This window comes from Homo sapiens, chromosome 9 (genome assembly GCF_000001405.40).
Source record: "Homo sapiens chromosome 9, GRCh38.p14 Primary Assembly".
Taxonomy (NCBI): Eukaryota; Metazoa; Chordata; class Mammalia; order Primates; family Hominidae; genus Homo; species Homo sapiens.
Window position 1 is genome coordinate 14,648,561 of NC_000009.12, and position 16,253 is coordinate 14,664,813.

The 16,253-nt window shown below is 33.7% G+C and overlaps 1 protein-coding gene across 29 annotated transcripts in view; it reads right to left on the reverse strand.

The window, feature by feature from the left end:
- Positions 1-16,253, reverse strand: part of ZDHHC21 (zDHHC palmitoyltransferase 21) — a 104,636-nt gene that overhangs the window by 59,764 nt on the left and 28,619 nt on the right. For all 29 annotated transcript variants that reach the window (XR_001746284.2, XR_001746285.2, NR_148714.2 and 26 more), the window contains 2 exons: positions 13,655-13,766; positions 10,189-10,327 (listed from right to left, as the gene is read on the reverse strand). Coding sequence is in view for 17 of the 29 variants with exons in the window: in NM_001354126.2 (NP_001341055.1) it covers positions 10,189-10,327; positions 13,655-13,766 (251 nt within the window). In the remaining 12 variants the exon portion in view is untranslated. The remainder of the gene's footprint in view (positions 1-10,188; positions 10,328-13,654; positions 13,767-16,253) is intronic.

Below are 16,253 nucleotides of genomic sequence, written 5' to 3' on the forward strand. Positions count from 1 at the left end.
GCGTCACTAGAGAAAGGTCTTCCTTGACTATATCCACCCCTGTACCCTGCTTTATTATACGTCATAATACTCATATTGTTTACCATATATTTGTTTATTGCCTGTCTTCTCTAATTGGAACGTAAGCTCCTTAAACACAGGAACTTTGTTTTAGAGCCTAGACGAAGGGGAAGTGAATAGACACTCAATAATATGTACTGAATGACTTAATAAATGTTCCTCACAATTTATTAAAATAAAAAAACTGTGTTTTACAAATAAAATTTTATATATAAAATGACAATTTTCCTATCAATGAGTTTGAAGCAATTTTTATTTATAAACCACAGCTTATACGTACTTTTCTGTGTTTTTATAAGACTACTCTGAAAAGTAAAAATTTTTTTTTTCTTTGTGATCTTCCTCCTACTGAACAGTTTCTCAACCTCAGCACTACTGACACTCGGCTGGATAATGTTTTGTTACAGGGGACACTCTTGTGCATTGCAGAACATTTAGCAGAATCCCTGGCCTCCACCCACTAGATGCCAGTAGCACTCCCCTAGCTGCGACAACCAAAAACATCTCCAGACATTACCAAATGTTTTCTGTGGGGGAAAGTCAACCTCCTCCCAACTGAGAACCACTGTACCCACTGGTAAAGGATTTTGTTTTTCTCTGTTGTTAAAAGAATAGAAACACCTGGAGACAGTAAAAATCATAAAATTAAAAAATAAAAATAACAGAAACAGCTTAGATCACATCTGAGATATCTAAAGCATACAGATTTGAATTTTCAAAATAACTAAATAACCAACTTCACATGCTGAGGGTAGGTTCATAAGGCAAATACTCTCACATTAAAATAAGCAATCTTAATTTAATCCTAAAATAAAATCCCATGATACCTGTATGGGTATGAGCACTTTTTGGAATGACCCTTAGCTAAAGTTTATTATATTCTAAAACATAAGAAAAGAAGTTACAAGCTTATTCTACATAAAACCCCTCCACTTCCCAACCCAACGCTCAGGTAAAATGTACTTTTCTCAGTCTTATTACATCCTAATGGCAATTAATATCTAAAGTGAAACAAATAATTATTTATACCTCCCTAATGGCTGTCATTGAGTGTTCAGAATTATCTACTAAATTTTGGTAATCATATGTATGCAATTGTCTTACAGAGCGTATTTCACTAGCATCTGACTGTCAGGTTCATGGCTGAGGGTGAAGTATTCCAGAAAAATTATTTTGTCTGCCTGACCATATTTTAGCAGTAAAAATTCTAGAAAAGTTTGGGCAATCCAATAAGAGAACAGGATAACATACTTCCTTACTACATTCACCAATTAATGCAGTGCTACAGTGTTTGGTAAAAGTAAAAGAAGAGTAAGACAATAAAATTGCTGCCAGGTTTTAACCATTTAAATTCACAGTAACTGTAACAGTTTTACAGAGAAATAAAAACTGCTAAATTTTCTATGTTAAATGCTATTAATATTTATAACTGACTATGGAAACATGTTTAATGAGGACATATACTCAGTCAACCTGGTGTTGTAGGACAGGATTAAGATTTATTATAAGGTTTCTGTGTTCCATCTCTCACTAAAAGCGTAGAGATATACTGACAAATGGAATTGGCAATTGTTAGAATAAATAGATTATTCTTATTTCTTTAGAAATATAAACTATATCTGACATTATTCTTTTCAAGCAAAAAAAATAAAAAATGTTACTAAGGAATATCTCTAGTAGCATCTCAGGAAACAGGAACAAAAAAGCCAAATTACTTTTATATTAGCACTAAAAATAATTTTCATCTCATATCAATTTTAATTCCACAATACTCTTGGCTATTCTTGACTCTTGGCTATTCTTTCCAAAAATCTAAAAAGCTAAATGTGTATTTTAGCAATTTTTTTCCATTCTTCAGTGAACAAAATAAATGACCTTCTAGATATTAAGAAAATAAAAGTTATTATTAAGGCTACAATATTTTTTTAAATAGCAGAAGTACTCAGGCGACTTTAAAACAGATTACACAAAAAGATTAAAATAAATTATGAAAAGATTTACAAATATTCAAAGCTACCTGCAGCCAAGTCTTCTGGCTATTTCTTTTTTTTGTTAGCCAAAAGGCTAGGCAAATAATTCTGTAGGAACAGTTCTGACATCAAATCCCTAGCAACACTATTAGATATCAGCCAATTGGAATAATAATAATGTATCTTCCTAGCAGAAGAGTTGGCTAGGCTGCTAAACATTATTTATTTTCCTCTTCTGAATTTTGGCAGCATTTCCTTTATTGAAATTCTCTCTCCTCTCTTCCCCTTCTGTCACCCACTGCTCTCATAGCCTTAAACGCAGTTAGTATGCTTTTCCCCTTCACATAAAAATAAGTATACAACAATTAGAAATTATCAGAATCCACTTCATCTAAAAAGAAGCTAAAGGACATAATTTTAGAATTAAAGTGGTATACCATCAAAGATTAGCTGTATAATCTCTGACAGTAATAGCCACAAATTATTTTTTTAAAAACCTTGTATTTTCTCATGTAGAGAAATAGTAAACTTTGCCTGCAGCTGATTTCCAGCAGGAACATATTTAAAAAAATATTTTTAACCCACTGCGATGCCTTTATAAGATATAACAGACTGCCTCAATGAAAACAGCAAAATATTAATCTACCAATCAGGAGGTTCACTGAGCTTTCTCTGAAGAGCAGATATTATGATGTTTAGTATTTTTAAATATATTTAATATTATTAATCCTACAATAATATTGCTAAAAAATTCCTTGGGGGAAAAATGCAAAAAGTAGTATTGAATGGGAGTTTGAATAGGATTTAGTAATAGCAAGCACATGACTTAGGGACATGGGCCCAAATCACACCTCTGTCAAGTGGCAAGTTTGTGATTGGACAAGGTATTGAACTTCTCTGAATTTCAGTTACCTTACCTGTAAGATGGCAACCATACTATTTATCCCTTCAGAAATATTTCATAGGAGTAGACATTTTCCACTAATCCAAGTAATACACAAATCCAGAATAATATAAAAAGAAAACATGTTACCAATAAAATATTCATGGATAAACATACAATAAATTTAAGAAGGTATACTCTTTAAATACAGTGGTACTTTCCTTCATATTTAATTGAAAACCGTAATTTTCTAGTTTTGGTAAATAACCAGTATCCAATAAAATGAAATAGAGTTTCATAATATACCAAATGACTAGGCATCTGCTTATAAGCATTTAAAGTAACTATGTGAAATAGTCAAATATGGACCTTGGTAAAAAATGAAAGTTCATTTTCTTCAAAATCCATCTATTTTATTCACTTAAATGCCAAATCATTACCCAATCTACAGGTTTTAGAACCTAGACAATGATTTTCATGCCAATAAATATTTAAAGTCAAACATTACTTTCGAGAGGGGTTTTAAGTAAAATTCAACATTATACTGGAATGATAAATGCAAATGATGCAAACTAATTTAATGTCTAACATCTGAAAAACTTCTCCAAACATCTCAAAGTTTATAATCTTTATTGATTTAGTGATTCTAACAAAAAATGTTTAATTTATCTCCATTTATTTAGAAAACAAAACTATTACTCAAGTTTCTGCAATTTTTCTAGACATGCATTTTTTACACTGAGAATTTGGGGATTTTTTAAGTTACTATTTCTGATAAAGATAGTAAATACTAATTCTTTTTAGGTTCACAGGCCTTTTTTTAGTATAAGACTCAGAATATAAATCAATATCTATAGCTTAAAAAATAAATCCTAAATTTGGGCATTGATTCATGATAAACTATAAATTCCTTATCTCCTGCACATCTTAGTCCTTACTTCCTCAACAAAAGATAAATTCAAGTATTTCCTCAAAACTTCACATGGTAAAAACATATAAATCTTTGAACGTTCGTGATAAAAGAATATTTTAAAAGTAAAGATTAAGAAGAAATCTAAAAAGCATTAAGTTACTATAAAAAACAATGGGGCACTTGCAAAGAAATTAAAATAATCCAGCTCAGAAAGAGCTCTCCTGAAAACAGAAGGCGAGGAGAAGAGAGAAATGGAAGAAAATCAGGCTCCCAATCTGTTCATTTCCCAGAATTTGTGAACAACCTGCTTTCTCTCAACTGTCTTTACCATGAGCATAACATACAACGTACCAGTTTTCTACTGAATACAGGTTAAGTGCCATTACATCAATGGTCAAAGTGCAACTCATTTTTTTTGTTGTTGTTGTTTAATGAATAAACACTTTCGCCTTAAAAAACAAGAAAAGAAAAACAAGAAAGTTAACACTTTCTCTTCTGACCCAGGCAATTCCATTCAGCTTTGGAATTTAAAGATGGGCTAGAAAAGATACTATGCTGCCACCTATCTACGTGAAAGGGTAGAAAGAAAATGCAGACTACAGCTTTTGCTTCAGTCTGGCTGACAGAAGAACACAGGGTCAAAGTCCACCACATGCTTTAACTGCATCATTACTCCCACAAAAAATATGTATAATAATCATTAATGCAATATCCAAAGATAGTTAGGGACCTTCGGGGATCTTATTCCATATCCTGAATAATAGAAAGGATAATAAGATGAAGTTCCTGATACTGTCTTTATTCACACATAGTTTTATACACATAATCAACAGCTGGATACAGATTTTTGCTTGTTTTAGAGAAAAATGAAAGAAACACAGGAAAAGACTTGCAAAAAACACTGATGAGGCAGTATTTTTTGAAGAATATTCCACCATAAAACATTATTTTTTTAAATGTCAATGGTAATAATGGTGACTTTGGTTCTGAAATTATTGGTAATTTTTTTCTACCTTTATGAAAAACACAGTAAATGTAATTTACAAAAGAACTGCTGAAGTAAGAACATTATTTTATTATTTAGCTTTAGAGAAGTTTGTTATACTGCTGGAATTTTACTAAAGATTTGCCCTTAAAACCAATTATTCCAGTTACAGCCTCAAGGGTTTTGTTGTTTTTTTTGCCCAGCAATGACCTCCTTCATCTCCCCATTTGGTTAATCTCTATCTCACCTATGAAGTCCACCATGAGTCTCATTCCCTACTCTACAGCACTTCTCAGACCTTATGGCCACAGAAGTTTTGCACTGCACAACTCCACAGGATACTGTTTACATAGACTATGATGTGAGTGTTGCCTCCTGGAGTTATGCAATTAGGCAGCAATGATTAAAATCACCTGGGAAGAAATTTTTTAAACAAAATGCTATTGCCATTGACACCTATGAGGAAACAGTTCGTATGAGACCAACACTCACACCAAAAACACTATTAAAAGCCAGATAAAATCCAATTAATTAATAAATACACAGCTGTTTAAAGATACTGGCAAGTAGCCAAACTCCCCAGAACTTAAGAGGCCAAAATCTCAGAGAAAGTAGACAGGCGTTAAGGTGAGCCATATATTCTGCACTGCTTTTTATCTGAAAGTACCTGTCAATTCACATTCAGTACTGAATGAAAAGTCAAGTAGAACCGGAGACTCAGAACATCCTGCAAAATCTCCAAGGCCAGGAAAACAGTAACTGTAGGGCACAATCCACAATAAACACCTCAGTTTTTCAGCTGAGACCCCGAAGGACTAGACTATTGGAATAAAGGCAAATTGAAACTAGTCTTTCACAAAGACAAATCCAGCAATCAAGATTCCTTACAAAATACCAATAAATGCAATAAATAGCATCTTTCCAAAAACTGCTATATTAAGACCAATGTTCTGTTATTTAGCATTAGAAATTCTTGTTATACAAACCCCTGATTGGATAAAAATGAGGCTTCTCTTATATCCTATCAAAAAAAAAGAGTAAATCAAATCTGAGGAAAGAACACAATCACACTTTCTACAATTTGTCATGCAAAATGCTCAGTATTCTAACTTAGACATGTCAGAAGACAGGGCCAAATATCTGGAAATTGAGAAGAAAAAAAGAGTCAACAGAAACGGACCCACAAGGGGATCTCAAAGTTAAAGTTATCAAACACAGACATTAAAAACTGTGATTAACACGTTTAAAAAAATAGATGACAAAATAGATGATTTCACCACAGAAATTATCAATGAAAGAAAGTATCAAATGGAAATTCTAAAAGTGAAAAATATAATAACTGAATTAAGAACTCATTAGAAGGATTTAAGGGTAGGTTAGACATGGCAGAAGAGGTGATTAGTAAACCAGAGGATAAATTAATAGGAAATATCCAGAATGAAGCACAGAGGGGGAATAAAAAAGGAAAGTTAAGAAATAAATTCAGAACATATGCAGCACAATGAGACTTCACGTACATGTAAGTAGAATCCCAGAACTGCAGGAGAAAAAATTGAGCAGAGGTAATATTTGAAGTGACAAAGGCCAAGAAATTTCCACAACTTAAGAATGACATCAGGCCACAGATTCAAAGTTACATAAACTCTCCAACAGAAAAAAGTGCAAAGAAAACAATACCAAAGCACATCATAGAATCACAGAATAATTGCTAAAATACAAAGACCAAAAGAAATCATAAAAACAGCTAAAGAAAAACATATTTCATTGGAGTAACAGTAAGACCAACAACTGACTTTACAACAGAAATGATGGAAACCATAAGACAATGGAATAACATCTTTTAAAAACTGAACGAAAGTAACCACCAATCTACAATTCTGTGCCAAACAATAAATCCTTCAAAAATGAAGGAGAAATAAAAGCATCTTCAGGGAACCAACACTGAGAGAATTTGTTCCAAGAGACTTGCACTAAAAGCAGAAAAAATAAGCCTAGAGGAGGCTCAGGTATAAAGAGTACTAGAAAAAGCACCAATATGTAGATAACTCAAAACAAATACTGACTATAGGTAACATATAACTTGTATAACAATATAACACATAATGTATATGTAACAACAATAATGTCTTGTTATCATGTGATTTTTTTCTACATCTACCTTCTACCCCAAAATATGAAAAATGATGATGACAGAGGGTGTTCCAAGACCACTGCTTTCATTAGGTGCACAATGGTAAAGTACTAACTTATATTATACTTCAAAAAAATCAGAATAATGTTTTCACTTTTGGGGAAACTATAAAAAGAGTAAAAGAAAAAGCCATTAGAAATAGAAAATTGGAATTTTTTTTAAATTAGAAATTCCAAAACAGGAAAGAAAAGGAGAAAAATGGGAACACAGAACAGATGAAGTCAAATAATAAATAGGAAAATGACAAAATACCAGTTATACTAAGTAAATATTTACTAAATGTTTCATATTAAAAGATAATTTTTTAATGAAATATCTGCTGTCTGTAAGGCACATTATGAGACACAGTAATCAAGATAGGTTGAAAGTATTAAAGACAGAAAAAGATATACCATGAAAACACTAACTAAAAGACAACTGATATAGTTAAACTAATAACAGAAAAAAAATTTGAAGGCAAGAATCATTACTAAGAATAAAGAGGCATATTTTATAATGATACAAGAATCAATCCACCAAAAAGGTATAACGAAATTTGGATGTGTCTATAATGTAGCTTCAAACTCTCAACTTCTAAATCAATGAAATGACTGGAATTCATTTCAATGTATATTGACTAACTACTGAACATTCATTTGCTTCAGATCATTGGAATATTTAGAGCTACATAGATTATAAAATACTTTCTTCAAGTTTAGTTATAATTCTGGTCCTAGAATTTAGCTTTACTCTATTAAACTTAAGTAGGTTAGAACAGTGCTAATAAACATTCAATTTTATGTATTTAAATTTGTCTGTCTTTTCTTACAATGGGAAATACTGTGGTAAAGCTCTTCTCTCCATATACCTAACTTGATAATATGTATGAATTACTTCATTCATTGAGATAACATATAAACAAAACTAAAACATTGAGATAATATATCATAAACAAAACTAAAAATTACTCGATTCCTCAATAGGAAGCAAAATGGTCCTGGAAATTTCATAACATAATCTGAGTTTTCATTTCATTACTGCTAATATGGTGGTAATTATAAAAGTACACCGCTTGATACAACAAGGAAACCATAAGACTTAGGCTAAGAGAACGATTTCTGCTCAGCACTACTAGACACAAGTAACTGTCAGATCCCTAGAATTATTTATAATGTACTGCTTCATTCCTAAAGTAGCTTTCTAACAACCAACATAATGATTTGATTTTCATTTGCTAAAATGCTACTAACATATTATTATGATTTTTATTTAAAAAAATCACCTGCTTGCATCTACAATTGATGGCTCTAAGGAAAATCTGGTTTGACTTTTTAAAACCCACTTTTTATACTCACTTTTTATATACTTTCTTCTTCCTGATATTTTTAATCTCTTAATAAACATTTACTATGCTGCTGATCTTTTTCCAACATTCATTATGCATGTAAATATACACATATATGTCGTATATTCAAATATAACCCATAATCCATTTCTCCATTTTAAAAAAAGGTGACTGTCTAATTGCCATTAATTTCTCTCCAGTTTCTACCTTTCATTTGGAGAAGAAAATTAGTTTGTAATTTCAAACGTCTTAATACTTCATTTGATTATTGGAATTTCCTTAGTTGGTCATCAATCTTCCAGTAATAAATGGTTACTGTAAAACGGTCTCTAAAATTTTCATGAAAATTAATAGGCCAAAGAAAAATTGTTTCCTCCCTCTGAGAGTTTTCACTAAAATCAAATGTAACATAAATTGAATGTCTATTATATACCAGCTAAGTTTACATATATTATTTCATTTAATCTCATTATTATTCACATTTTCAGTGGAAGAAAATTACCATTCAGAGAGGTTAAACAATGTGTCAAAACTTATGCATGTAATAAGAAAAAACAGGCTTTAATCCTAGGTATGTCTGTTTACAAAGACAAGATCTTTCCACTACCAGAGGCTGGCAAAGTTACTGTAAAAGAGCCAGACAGTTAATATTTTAGGCTTTACAGACCATACAGTCTCTGCCACAACTATTCAGTTCTGCTCTTATAAAACAAAAGCAGCCATAGACAATATATAAACAAAAGAAAGTAGCTGTTTTCCAGTAAAACTTTTTTTTAACAAAAACAGGCAGAGGGCTGAATTTAAACCAAGGCCCATAGTTTGCCAATACTGCACTATACTACAATGCATTCGTTACCTCTTAGCCTGTCTTTGTTTTTCATTAACACCACTAAACTCTACTTCTCTGTCGCTTAAAAAAATTATTACCTTAATCTTACTGAGGAATTTTATTTTAATGCTTTTCTTATTAGGCTCAATTATTTGAAACAGATTACTCCAGGGAATATGTACATTCTTTTACATGATCTAACTTTAATGCCAATTATATCAGAAATTTATCTATAAATAAGATGAAACATTTCTAAAACTATAGTCCTAGCATGCATTATATTCTCAGTGGATAACTTTTTAAAGCATCCTGCAAATTCATGATATCATTACTGATGAAAGGCAGGGAGAAAAAAAGTTCTCTTTCTCAAGAACGTAACTATTTGAGAACCTTTAAAAATTACATTCTGCATTTTTATTCCTGAAAAGAAACAAGAACATTTTGTCTTTGTTTTTCATTATTGTAGATATTTTTAAACCAAGACACACGTATTGAAAGATTCAACGTGTTGCTTTCTAAGCTCAACACTAATAAATAACCATAAATGAATTTCATTAAAAGGAAATGTCAGACTAGGGCCCACTTTCTCAATCCCAATATAGTTCAAAATTCACCAATTTGGGAGTTTGCTTTTGTTGTTTTGTTTCCAATCTTTTGTTGTTTTGTTTCCAATCTTTTGTACTTAAAGGAACCACATGTTAATAATTGTATGCTACAACTGCTCTAATGTTAGTGGATATAAACATTTCTTTTTTTTTTTTTTTTTTTTTTTTTTGAGACGGAGTCTCGCTGTCGCCCAGGTTGGAGTGCAGTGGCGCAATCTCGGCTCACTGCAGGCTCCGCCCCCTGGGGTTCACGCCATTCTCCTGCCTCAGCCTCCCGAGTAGCTGGGACTACAGGCGCCCGCCACCTCGCCCGGCTAATTTTTTGTATTTTTAGTAGAGACGGGGTTTCACCGTGTTAGCCAGGATGGTCTCGATCTCCTGACCTCGTGATCCGCCCGCCTCGGCCTCCCAATATAAACATTTCTTACCAAATTACGCTTTTTTAGTGGAAGAAAATAGTAATAGTGGCAGAAAGAAAACATCAGTGCGTAGCAAGTAAGAAGTTCAGTGTAGAAACACAACTGCAGAAAGAGCCAATGATTATCTTCACCAACACAATTGTTAATCCTAAAGAAAAAAAATGAAAAAGAAACAATATTTTAAATTTCAAGAAGTTCACCTCAGGATCAATAAGACTAAATTAAAAACAAATAATATCACATATGCTTAACTTCATGGAGATATGCTATGGCCACTTGAAGGTAAAAACAAACTATACAGAGAAAACTATAAATATACCATCTTATATTTGTAAAGCACTTCACAAAGGAAGTCCACATATGTGATCCCCCTTCAACTCATAACAACTCAGCGAGACAGGAAGAGCAGACGGTAGTCTCCTGTGTCACTGATATGGAAACAGGGAACAAAGGAGCTAAGCCTCTGGCCAGAGGATGTAGAGTTAGAAGACATAGGGGCCAAGAGAGCAAGAACCCTGCTTCCCTGTATTTTGCTCTTCCTTTAGGGCATTCTAGCTGTGAAAAGCAATCTGAATGCCCTGAAGTAAACCAGCTGAAACATACCACTCTGACATAACTGCTAAGCATTCACTTTTCATTTTAAAAATCTACCCCTGGTTGCTGAAAATAAAAATGTATTCAAAACTATTTATAAATACACACAGCTATACTTCCACCAATACAACAGTGAACCCTAACTAGGAAAGAGGATTAATGTTACAATAAAAAATTTTCAAGGCTAATTTAAGCTGAATATTTTATTGTTCCAAATTTATTGTATCCAAATTGTCAAAGTATCCTAAAATTCCAGCAAAAAACCCTAGTTCAAGACTACAAATGACTTTGCACAAATGTTTTCATTTCAAAATAGTATTATACTGTCACTGAAAAAGAAACGATGTAACAGGTTTCGGTCCTAACTTAAATCGCTCTTTTTAACTTTGTCATTAAACCATTTTTTAAAGTCAAATACAGACCTGAACTGAAAAACCTTAGAGAGGCATTTCTTAAGATTTAAGAGTGCATGTTTTGTAAACAAGAAAATCTACTGTGCTTTGTTATTTGCAAGCAGGATTATAAGAGAAGTGTGCTTATGTATTAATATACACTCAAAAGTGCTCTTCAACAGCTGCCGATTGAAAGATGACTTATCATTGTTCCATCTTTCCTGTCCCCAGGAAGTTTGAGAAACAATGTCTATGATCACAGCATTCTTCTTAACCAGAACAGCTTTAAGAAGCACTAAGGTATTCAATCTATATGAGTTCTTTTTGTAACATCTGCACTACTTAGAAAGAATGATCAGGCCAGGCGCGGTGACTCAAGCCTGTAATCCCAGAACTTTGGGAGGCCGAGGGGAGCAGATCACCTGAGGTTGGGAGTTTGAGACCAGCCTGGCCAACATGGTGACAACCCGTCTCTGCTAAAAATACAAAAATTAGCCAAGCATGGTGGCATGCACTTGTAATCCCAGCTACTCGGGAGGCTGAGGCAGGAGAATCACTTGAGGCCAGGAGGCAGAGGTTGCAGTGAGGCAGAGGTTGAGATCATGCCACTGCACTCCAGCCTGGGCAACAGAGTAAGACTCCATCTCAAAAAAAAAAAAAAAAAAAAAAGAATGATCAGAGCCACAAATACAGAAAACCTTGAGGCAACGTGAGAATTGACCTCCAAACCTAAAAATGTCTTAGGCAGTTAAGTAGTGCAATTTCTGAAAACATCAAAAATTTTCCTTGCTTCCAATTTACACTGTACATTTCCCCTGCTCTCTGAACATTTCAGCAGTGCTCTATCAGGAAATTCAATGATAAAAATTCCTGAATCTCTTTAGGTCCCTTGTCTACTCTCCTTTCTGATCCTCCAATCCTTTGTACTTCCCCCTCACTGCTACCAACTTCTGAAAAGTTGACTAAAACTATGGAAGCAAGAGGCCCAGAAAGAGAAATCACCCCAACGTTAGAATTAAGGTTAAATAGCACCTTATTTGGTCACCAATAAGTGAGTCTTTCCTAGTTCTTTCTTACTACTGCATTCGTTTGAAAAAAAAAGCATCAATATCCACTTCCATCATGAACATTTGTATTTTAGTGAATAAGAAACTCTACAATAAGAAGCGCTTAAAAACTGAGCTTTTCTGTATGATCAGCAATTATCTGAATACATGTTTCACGTAGCTTTCTAAAAATCTATTACTATTGTGAGAGCAAACAGATCACTGAGCTTAAGAAAATTACTTGGGAATTAATCTTTATTCCCAAGTAATTCCCAAATAATTATTTACGTTTAAATTCAAGGCACAGTTTTGAATATCAACTATATGTCATACACTACTCTATCTTGTTGACAGATTTAGAAATTTTTAAAATTTTTATGTAGTAACAAAATGCTTTTATCGAAAATGCTCTTACTTTTTCCTATTTCAGGAAATTATCTTCTTTTTAAACAGTCTATGCAAAAAAACAAATTTCCACCAGAAGTTTGCTGAATAACTGTGCTATCAAAATAAGTTATCAAAAATAAAGAAAACTCTAAATAGACTAACATTAGAAAAAGCTAAACTCCACTTGCATCAATTTTAAATAAAAGCAATTATAAATTAAGAGGCTCATTATGTAAATTTGCATATATGCATGTATGTGTATACAAACATAAATACTACATATATGTATACAGATACATTTGTCAAATTCTACACTATACCAGTTTAAATATTTATACAGAGAGCCAATGCTAAGAAAACAGAATTAAATACAATATCTTGTTCACAGATTTTTGTGACAGCTTTAAAATGAGATACAATACAGAATTCACGCAGCATTTGTTTTCGAAGATTATATTTCTCAACTGAACATTTTCTTTAAATATTACAAGAGAGCCCCCTATTGACCAAAACTGTTAGCAGTTCTGCAGAATCAGCTAATTATCACTCACATACTTCCAACAAGTACATAATGGTAGTAGCTATATCCAATACATAATGCTTAAAAAGCTTTAAGGGGTAAGGAAGAGGTTATCAGGGTGTCTGAAATGTTATTAATTAAACAAATGAAAAGGGGATATAAACATTCGGATGCATATGGTTTATTACAATTAGAAATAGCTACCATTTAAGTACATCCTACTTGTCAGATATTGTAGTAAATGTTTTATATACATTGCCTCATTTAATACAACCACCTTAATCCTTTTGTATATCAGGCTGCAGTTAATTCTTACTTTTTTGGCTCAAATCTCTCCCTGTTAGAAAAGATAGGATTTCTGTGGAAAAATGACTTTGGGAGTTGACAGAACCATATAATCTAAATAAAGATATCCTTATTAAGATATTGTAAAACTATATAACTTTAACATAACTGTTGTTTAAAGCTGCCAAGTTGTAAGATTTACATTTTATTACCCACCCCTCTTTTCTTTGCTAGAAGTGAATTATTCTTACCATGGACAGTGATGATCCATTCTCCTCACACAGTGGCCGCAGCGGCTACAGTGATGGGAACGCTTTGGTCTCATCAAATTACACTTGTTACATAATTCCCAGAACTCCCTTTCTAAAGAAAAGAAATTAAAATCCATTTAATGAAGGCAAGTGGGTAATGCTGAAATTTACCAACAGTTGTTTAGAAGATTTTATAGGAAGCCTTCAACATAAAACTCTAAGAGATTTTTCTTCTAAGCCTTTGGTATAAATGTGTTTGCCATAAATGCTGCTGTTCTATTCTACATATGTCTTATTTTGTGTGTTTCTAATTTAAAAGACTAAAAAAATAAGACACTATTGTTATAGTCAAAGTAAGAGACAGAAAACAATGTATTTGGATTCTGGGTATACTGTGAGAATATAAGTAAAATCCAATGACAAAACCCTAGAGCCCAACCAAATTATTATACTAAAACAATTTTATTTAAACAAATTGATTTCTAGAAATTTCATTTTCTAAAGGCTCTAAAGAAGAAATAATGCTGACCCTGGTTTCAATTGATTAGTAAACTGAAATCAACCCTATAAACTCATCCGAAAAACAGATGGCATTTCCCTCCACATACACTTTCCCTAAATCATTTAATTTTAAAAAACATCAGTAGATTCATTTAAGAGTGTGTATGGGACAGGTTAGAGAAGGATGTCATATGGGTTTGGGAGGTATCAGAATAGTTTCAGTAGTGAAAAATGTTATAAGACAACTACTATTTTTAATGAAAATAAAGGAGTTCTTCATAAAACACTGAACTACCACCAACTAGCAATTTCCTCTAATCTGGAGTGAAACAGCACACGATTAAGCTCTGTGCCAAAAACACAAAGTTTGCATAAGAGAAAAGGCTTTTGTTTTCATTAAAAACTGTCCTAATTAGGTCCGCGAAAACTATGGAAGAGTCATCTTCCTAGAAAAGACAATTGCCTTATTATACAAAAATGTATCTTTTAAATATATTGGAATGGAATTTTTCTTTTACAAAATTCTTTTAATTTTCATCATCTGTGTTTATACTATCCCATAACCTCATTAAAAGTATGGACATAGTAAGATTAGCCTAACTCCTATATTCAGATTGAATTTTAGTACATGAAGAGTAGGACCCTAGCACATACTAGGTAGTCACTAAATGCTTGCTGACATATGAAAAGTCTAAAATCAAAAAATGAAAGATTCTAAATAAAAGTGAAAGATAATAGTAGACAATATTCAATTTTCTTTTTTTTTTCAGATTACAGATTTTTTTTTTTTTTTACCAATATTGATATTTTTATTTCTTTTTTTTCTCTTTTTTTTCTTCTTTTTTAAGATTCTCTGTTTGAATTCCATTACTTTAGTTGAATGGTCAGGAGCAACATCAACATGCTGGACTTTTATATAGTAAAGCGTTGGGAAAATACTCCCACTACAGACATCTCTGAAGAAACAAAGTATGAATAAAACCTACATCAAATTAATTGTTCCAATAATATGAAAGTTGAGAAATTATCTCTTATACTTGAAATCTTATTTTAAAAGAAAATACTTTTTCATCTCTTACAGTTATTTTAATGAAAATAAATCATGCAAGAGCAACAGTACTAAAGCTTAATTTACATAGTTAAACTAGTACTATTTACCTCTAAGTGAAATAAAAACTCATTTAATCTATAGCATATTACAATGTCACAAGCATATCATATTCCACTCCCCTACTTAGCTCAATGCTCCCAAACATCCCAGTGTTAAAACTTTGAATTCGGGGGGAGGAGCCAAGATGGCCGAATAGGAACAGCTCCGGTCTACAGCTCCCAGCGTGAGCGACGCAGAAGACGGGTGATTTCTGCATTTCCATCTGAGGTACCGGGTTCATCTCACTAGGGAGTGCCAGACAGTGGGCGCAGGCCAGCGGGTGCGCGCACCGTGCGCGAGCCGAAGCAGGGCGAGGCATTGCCTCACTCGGGAAGCGCAAGGGGTCAGGGAGTTCCCTTTCCGAGTCAAAGAAAGGGGTGACGGACGCACCTGGAAAATCGGGTCACTCCCACCCTAATACTGCGCTTTTCAGACCGGCTTAAGAAACGGCGCACCACGAGACTATATCCCACACCTGGCTCGGAGGGTCCTATGCCCACGGAGTCTCGCTGATTGCTAGCACAGCAGTCTGAGATCAAACTGCAAGGCGGCAGCCAGGCTGGGGGAGGGGCGCCCGCCATTGCCCAGGCTTGCTTAGGTAGACAAAGCAGCCGGGAAGCTCGAACTGGCTGGAGCCCACCACAGCTCAAGGAGGCCTGCCTGCCTCTGTAGGCTCCACCTCTGGGGGCAGGGCACAGACAAACAAAAAGACAGCAGTAACCTCCACAGACTTAAATGTCCCTGATAGCTTTGAAGAGAGCAGTGGTTCTCCCTGCACGCAGCTGGAGATCTGAGAACTGGCAGACTGCCTCCTCAAGTGGGTCCCTGACCCCCAAGCAGCCTAACTGGGAGGCACCCCCCAGCAGGGGCACACTGACATCTCACACAGCAGGGTATTCCAACAGACCTGCAGCTGAGGGTCCTGTCTGTTAGAAGGAAAACTAACAA